Below are 7,166 nucleotides of genomic sequence, written 5' to 3'. Positions count from 1 at the left end.
ATATAATCACAGCTCGGGGAACAGGGAGGCCCAACTAGAGGAGGAGAGACGGGGACGTGGCCAGTCCACGGAGCAGTCAGATCACACACAATGTTTATAGACTAAGTCCACCATCTTACATGGATGTGGTTTGTGGTGCCCCAAACAGGTGCAATAGAAACACGGAAGATCATGGCTCACAAATCACCATCAACTATTATCATAATGAAAAAAATTCAAATATTGCAGGGATTACTAAAATATGACACAGAGACACGAAGTGAGCACGCCCTATTGGAAAAACATCAACAGCAGATCTGCCGGCTGCAGGGTCGCCCAACCTTCCATCTTGAAAAACGCAGTATCTGGAAAGTGCCATAAAGTGAAGCTCAATTACATGAGCTGTGCCCGCATCACCCAGCGCCCCCCACGGCTGTGGCCGTGCCCGCATCACCCAGCGCTCCCCACGGCTGTTGAAGACTTTGTAAGAATTGCTGAGTTGAAGGGAACATGTGTGTTGGATATGTCCAGGCATCCTCCTGAGGGATTGTACCTGGTCTTCTCTTACAGAAGCCCACTGCCTTCCAGCGACACACACCGGACGGAGCAGGGACTGTTCACACCCTGGTGGAACCTGCTGGGGAGATTCTGAGCTCAGAGGATGGCTCAGGAGCATGAGGCACTGCAGACGGGCTGTCCTGGGCATTGGGGCCTATGGAGACCGGCCCCAAGGACTGGGCTGCGAGGACAGGCGATGAGGCAAGAGAGAGACAGACAGTGGCACGGGCCGACTTCTACCTCCATGCAAAGTTAGGATGAAGGTGAAGCAAAAAATCTGCAAAATCTCTTTTGTGCCGTAGAAACCTCGTTCTGGAAGGAGAGTGGCTGTGAGCAGTCACCTGAGAAGGGCCTGGGGATGCACTTCGCTCTGCATTCAGTCTCCCTGCCCCAGAACGGCCTGCAGAAGGCAGACCTCAGACCACGAGATGAAGGCCTGTATGGAGGGAGTCCCAGGCCCGGACAACGGCTCCTGGCGCGCCCTCTGCAAAGTGCAGTCCCTCAGGCAAGCCCGGCCTCCTGCGTGCAGCGTCCCTGCAGTCTCAGTGAGAACCTCTGACCTAGGCGTGGCTGTGTGCTGGCTCCTGGGCCCCAGGCACGCCAGCTGCACGAGGGTAGGCATTCCAGGGGACACCTCCGTCAAAGGACTGGGGAATAACTGTCTACTGCACACGGAAATTTGTGCAGATGGAGACCGTGTGGCGCGTAAGCACAAAGGCAAGAGGCCTCTCCACGCCCCTTCAGGGTTTGGGGCAGAAGGAAGCCCCAGTAGACAGGCCTTGAAGCAGGGAACCGGGATACTCCTGGGCTCCGGGTTAATCACAGGTGCGGCTCTGTTCAACCCACCCCTGAGGCTGCGTGCGCCCTTTCACTTGTGGGGCAAACACAACCCTCCCACCAATTTCTGTTGTCGGTGGTTTGAACACTGAGCTGCTCCTCTCCGGAAGGAGTTTAGATAGTCGCAGGCACCAGCAGGGAAGGGGACAGCGGAGGTGAAATGAGAGCTGGCGCGGGCTTGTGCCCGAGGAGGAACGGTGTGAGACAGGGCTGGGGGCGGGGCGGCCTGGGATGAGGACCTGGAGAGGTGAGTCCTTGGAGAGAAGATCCAGGTGTGTCACTGGAGCCGTCCCAGGAGGGACTGTGGCGCCCGAGATGCGGCTGGCATCCGTCTGTTGGGGTCTGAGCTGTGGCGGCCACAGGGCCTGGAGAGGCTGCTGAGGGTGAGTGGGTGGATGTCCTGGGTTCCTCCACGTGGAGCTCAGCTTGGAGGCAAGAGCCAGGATGTGGGAAAGGGAGGCATTTGTTACTCATTTGGTATTCGGATGAAATTGATTATGAGAATTTCCAGTTTGGAATCAGATGAGGACGTGGTCGGGGAGGGACCCTGGAGGCCCTGAAGCTCTGCCTCTGGGAGTGGGAGTGGGGGAGGGGGAAAGGGGGGAGGGGAGGGAGGAAGAAGAGGGGAGAGGAGAAGGGGGGAAGGGAAAGGGGAGGGGGAGGGAGAGGAATGAGGAGGGGAGGGGGAAGGGAAAGGGGGAGGGGGAGGGAGAGGGAATGGGGAGGGGAGGGGGAAGGGAAAGGGGGAGGGGGAGGGCAGGGTGGCCTCCGGGCTGCCTGCAGCTGCAGGTTCCTCGGAATCTGAGCCAGGCCCACAGGCCTGCCTTCGAGGCCACCGAACAAGTGCTGTAACCAGGGGACAGGCTTTCCTCCCTCACGACTGAACTGAACTCACTTCCACTGCTTGCTTGTTTTGTTAACATTTTAGCTGTTTTAAACTGTAACTGGAAGATCAAAAAGAGTTTAGGGGAAAATCCACGGCACCTGGACCAGCCCTCCTGGCACTGCCCTCGCAGTGCGGTTTCACAGGGGCTACTGGGAGGTGCGTCTCCCTGCCTGGACCGAGACCGGGACCAAACAGAGAAGCCTGCAGGGCCAGGAGTTCTATGGAGATGGCTCCTCCCAGACGGCAGTGGGGACCCTCAGGGTTGGCCACAGGCTTTGGGTATGTGCCACGTGTTCCCAAGGGCAGGCTGGCCATGGGCTGTACAGGGTTCCACGTGGGCCACAGTAGAGGGTGTACAGAAGTACTGGTTTGAGTGGACGTTGGATGTTTGGCTGATGTGTGCCAATGTTGGTTCTTCCCCACCAAAAATGCGCCAACAGTGATGTCTGCAGATAAGATGAGATTCTCCATGTGGTGTTCAGGCCGTTTTCGTGAGGAATAAGTGAAAAGCGCCTCACACATGCTGGGTGAGCTGCCATTTGGCTTCAAGACAGTTTGGCTCTTGGGGGCAGGACTGTAGGTGTGGGGGAAAGATGGCCCTTCACGCAGGGTGGATTTGCAAATCCCATTCTGGTTACAAGGCCCCTTCCTGCCTCTTAAGAAAAAGAATAATAAGTAGTGAGGAAAGCGGTAAAATCTTTCCTTATGATAAAGTTCCACACAGTCATCAACCTGGTTAATAAAACATCAGTTTAGGGGCCAGGAGATCTCCTTCAGAGCTAGCAACCCCCCTACACCAACAGAGCCTGGGTTTCTGAGGACAGAAAGAGATGAGGGGGAGACCCGGGGCGGCTCAGGGCCCTGGGACGGCTGCTTTGTCAGCCTGCTGACTTTCTCTCACTGGACAGGGAAAGGCAATGTCCTATCCTAAGGCCATGCTGATGATGGGGTGAGGCTGCCTTCCTGAGCCCCACCCTCCACATCTGACCACACCTAACTCCAAACCTCTACCCACACTGCTGCCTGGCTCTGCGGGGCCGTCACCGGGCGTCGGACGGACAATCCCAGCCTCACCCCTGCACAACCTGCTCTCCCCACTGCCTGGCTCTGTGGGGTGAGTAAACCGCAGGACTCTGAGCCTCACTTGCCCTTCTGGAAAGCAGCAGTGGGAGGGTTCCCTCATGTTTAAGCTCCTCCCACGGTTTTTGTGACAGTCACACGTGGTGTCAGACATCGGAGTGTGTGCATAAACGCAAATCGAGGCTGCTCTTGCTGCTGTTAGGACAAGGTTTTGGTCCTGAATGCTCTGCACTTTTGATTCTGTGAATGAAATAATCCACTTTAAGGATTATCTGTAGTGAAGCCCTTCGTACCCTGAACATTTTTGTGTTCTTCTGGCAGCACCAGGCTGCTGCCTCAGCCCAGGGAGGGAAAACGCGTTTTAATAATAGCCTGGGGCATATACTGTTAGGCGCTTGCACCGGCTGCCAAAGAGCATCTCAGGGAGCGTCCTGAAGCCAGCGACACCCGCCTCCGTTGCCTGGTGCATGGTGGCCAGTGTCTCTTTTCCTGTTGGTGGGACGGTGGTTGCCTGGCGCGTGGTGGTCAGTGTCTCTTCTCCTGTTTGTGGACGGTGGTTGGCTGGTGCATGGTGGTCAGTGTCTCTTTTCCTGTTTGTGGACGGTGGTTGCCTGGTGCGTGGTGGCCAGTGTATCTTTTCCTGTTGGTGGGACGGTGGTTGCCTGGCGCGTGGTGGTCAGTGTCTCTTCTCCTGTTTGTGGACGGTGGTTGGCTGGTGCATGGTGGTCAGTGTCTCTTTTCCTGTTTGTGGACGGTGGTTGCCTGGTGCGTGGTGGCCAGTGTCTCTTTTCCTGTTGGTGGGACGGTGGTTGCCTGGCGCGTGGTGGTCAGTGTCTCTTCTCCTGTTTGTGGACGGTGGTTGGCTGGTGCATGGTGGTCAGTGTCTCTTTTCCTGTTTGTGGACGGTGGTTGCCTGGTGCATGGTGGTCATTGTCTCTTTTCCTGTTTGTGGACGGTGGTTGCCTGGCGCGTGGTGGTCAGTGTCTCTTCTCCTGTTTGTGGACGGTGGTTGGCTGGCGCGTGGTGGTCAGTGTCTCTTTTCCTGTTTGTGGACGGTGGTTGCCTGGCGCGTGGTGGTCAGTGTGTCTTCTGTTTGTGGATGGTGGTTGCCTGGCGCGTGGTGGCCAGTGTCTCTTTTCCTGTTTGTGGACAGTGGTTGGCTGGTGCATGGTGGTCAGTGTCTCTTTTCCTGTTTGTGGGATGGTGGTTGCCTGGCGCGTGGTGGTCAGTGTCTCTTCTCCTGTTTGTGGACGGTGGTTGCCTGGCGCGTGGTGGTCAGTGTCTCTTTTCCTGTTTGTGGGATGGTGGTTGCGTGGCACGTGGTGGTCAGTGTCTCTTTTCCTGTTTGTGGGATGGTGGTTGCCTGGCACGTGGTGGTCAGTGTCTCTTTTCCTATTTGTGGGATGGTGGTTGCCTGGCACGTGGTGGTCAGTGTCTCTTTTCCTGTTTGTGGATGGTGGTTGGCTGGTGTGTGGTGGCCAGTGTCTCTTTTCCTGTTTGTGGACAGTGTTTGGCTGGTGCATGGTGGTCAGTGTCTCTTTTCCTGTTTGTGGGACGGTGGTTGCCTGGTGTGTGGTGGTCAGTGTCTCTTCTCCTGTTTGTGGACGGTGGTTGGCACTTACTGCATTTTGGGATGTGTTCTTCCTTTCTTTGGTTCTGAAACATTCACAGGCATATCTGTCTCTTTGTTTATGCTCTGCTCTTGGCAGACCTGCACTGGTGTGTAAGTTCTGGGAGAGGAGATGGCATTCTCAGGGTGCTGTGCTCCACGGGGCAGACTCATCCATGCGTGAGGGCTGGAGAGGAGGCCACACCCAAGGCACCTCTCAGGCACATGAGGATGGACGGGAAGTGCTTTGCTCGCAAGCAAACAAACCTACCCTCGCAGACTTGGGTTCTTCTGCCGCCCCCTCCTGAAACCACCCCTCCAAGATGCCGCCTCTGGCCCCTACCGCGTTCCTGGAGCTGAAAGTTGTTCCTGTCCTTCTGGACAGAGCTTTAGAAATTGAAATGGGAAGAGAGAAAACCTGGCTTGGTTGTCCGCAGCCTGCAAAGGATGGTTTGGAATATGCGGGAGCCGGCTCCGCACTGGGCAGGCACCCACCCTCTGCATCCGGGACCCTCAGCCGGACCGAGGTCAGAGGGAACCTCAATTCATTCTGTGCCAACTCACCCCTGGGGTCCTGGGCACATGTTTATTTTTATTTTTATTTTTATTTATTTTATTTTTATTATTTATTTTTATGTATTTATTTTTTATTTTATTTTTATCTTTCACCATTATCATTATAACTATTATCATCATCTTAGTTGAAATATGAAAAAAGCAAGAACTGTCCTTTTCATTAATATTTTGAAACTCGATGGTTCCCGTTGTAAAGTGTGCACTGAGTGAATGGGACTAGGCAATGCCACAACTTCCATCCCTCTCACTGGTTACTTTTGTTCAAAAATTACAATAATGTGGAGAATTCTTTCCCATGTGCCCGGAAGGCTACGGCTCTCGTGTCTCTCTTCCCTTCCTGCTGCACATGGGGAGAACGAAGGGGCTGCCACTTGGGGCTGAGGAGCAGAGGAGCAGAGGAGCTGGGAGCAGCACAGCCACGGCCGCAGTGAGATCATCTCCCCTCTCTGCCTGGCTGGAGCTGTGGGGACTCCTCCTGCTGCCCTGGCACTCCCCACGGGGCTTCCCTGGCTGCCCGGCCTCTGCCCCAGCTGGAGCCCTCTTTGTATCCATGCCTGCATGGTGCCGCCCTTGGGCTTTGCTGAATGCCACCTGCGTCTGCCTGCATCCCGAAGCCAGGCCTGCCACGTTCCGCCACGTTCCCGTGTGGACACCAGCGCTTGCAAATGCAGCTGGGTCTGTCCCCCTTTCCTGATACAGTTTGTGCTTGGTGGGGTGGGAAGACCTGTACCTGGGCTGACGACGTGGGACCTCTCCTGTGACACACCCACAGGCAGCCGGCCCCACTGTTGGGGGTCCTTGGACACCTGTCCCAATGCTGGCGCTATGTAAGGAAGGGGTGAATGGCAGTTCTTGGGGCCATCACGTGCCTGATCTTTCTCATTTTATGAAGATGTGGGGAGAATGAACAATGTTCTGTCTGTGAGAGTGCCCCACGGTCTCCAGGACACTGTACTTTTTATGTTTCCCACAGGACACTGTGAACGCCATCAACACACAGCCCGGGGTCGCTGTCTGGGACGTGCCCATTAAGTCACGATAAACGGTTTTTACTAAAAGCTTAGGCACCAATAGAGGCCTGCTGAGGGCGGTGGAGAGGACACCAGAGTGGGTATGTGGAGGTGATGATTTCACGAATTAACCGACTAATCTAACATCCAGGGAACAGGATTTCCACATAAACTAGCTCTTCTCTAAGACACTGAAGTCTGGGAGAAGCCACAGTGACTCTTTGGGAGCACCATGAAGAGCCAGGACAGGGAGAGATGGAGAGAGGGAGGGAGAAAGGGAGGGATAGAGGGGGGAGGGGGAGGGGAGGGACAGAGGGAGGGGGAGGGGGAGGGAGAGAGGGAGGGAGAGGGGGAGGGAGAGAGAGGGAGGGGGAGGGAGGGGGAGGGGGAGGGAGGGGGAGGGAGAGGGGGAGGCGGAGGGGGGAGGGGGAGGGAGAGAGGGAGGGAGAGAGGGAGGGAGAGAGGGAGAGGGAGGGAGGGAGAGAGGGAGGGAGAGGGAAGGAGAGATGGAGGGAGATAGGGAGGGAGAGGGAGGGAGAGAGGGAGGGAGAGGGAGGGAGAGAGGGAGGGAGAGAGGGAGGGAGGGTGGGAGGGAGAGAGGGAGGGAGACAGAGAGAGAGATGGAGGGAGA

At 56.1% G+C, this 7,166-nt stretch overlaps 1 annotated feature.

Moving 5' to 3' along the window:
* Positions 6,084–6,584: an enhancer, noted in NCBI's record as "H3K4me1 hESC enhancer chr6:170368382-170368882 (GRCh37/hg19 assembly coordinates)". NCBI's record gives its function as "activates a minimal SCP1, AML or CMV promoter by ChIP-STARR-seq in naive H9 embryonic stem cells {active_cell/tissue: H9 hESC(naive)}" and the evidence as "EXISTENCE:reporter gene assay evidence [ECO:0000049][PMID:30033119]".

The sequence above is a fragment of the Homo sapiens genome, chromosome 6, assembly GCF_000001405.40.
Source record: "Homo sapiens chromosome 6, GRCh38.p14 Primary Assembly".
In the NCBI taxonomy this organism is placed as follows: domain Eukaryota; kingdom Metazoa; phylum Chordata; class Mammalia; order Primates; family Hominidae; genus Homo; species Homo sapiens.
Note: the sequence above shows the minus strand (reverse complement) of the source record. Positions and strands in the feature narration are given on the sequence as shown.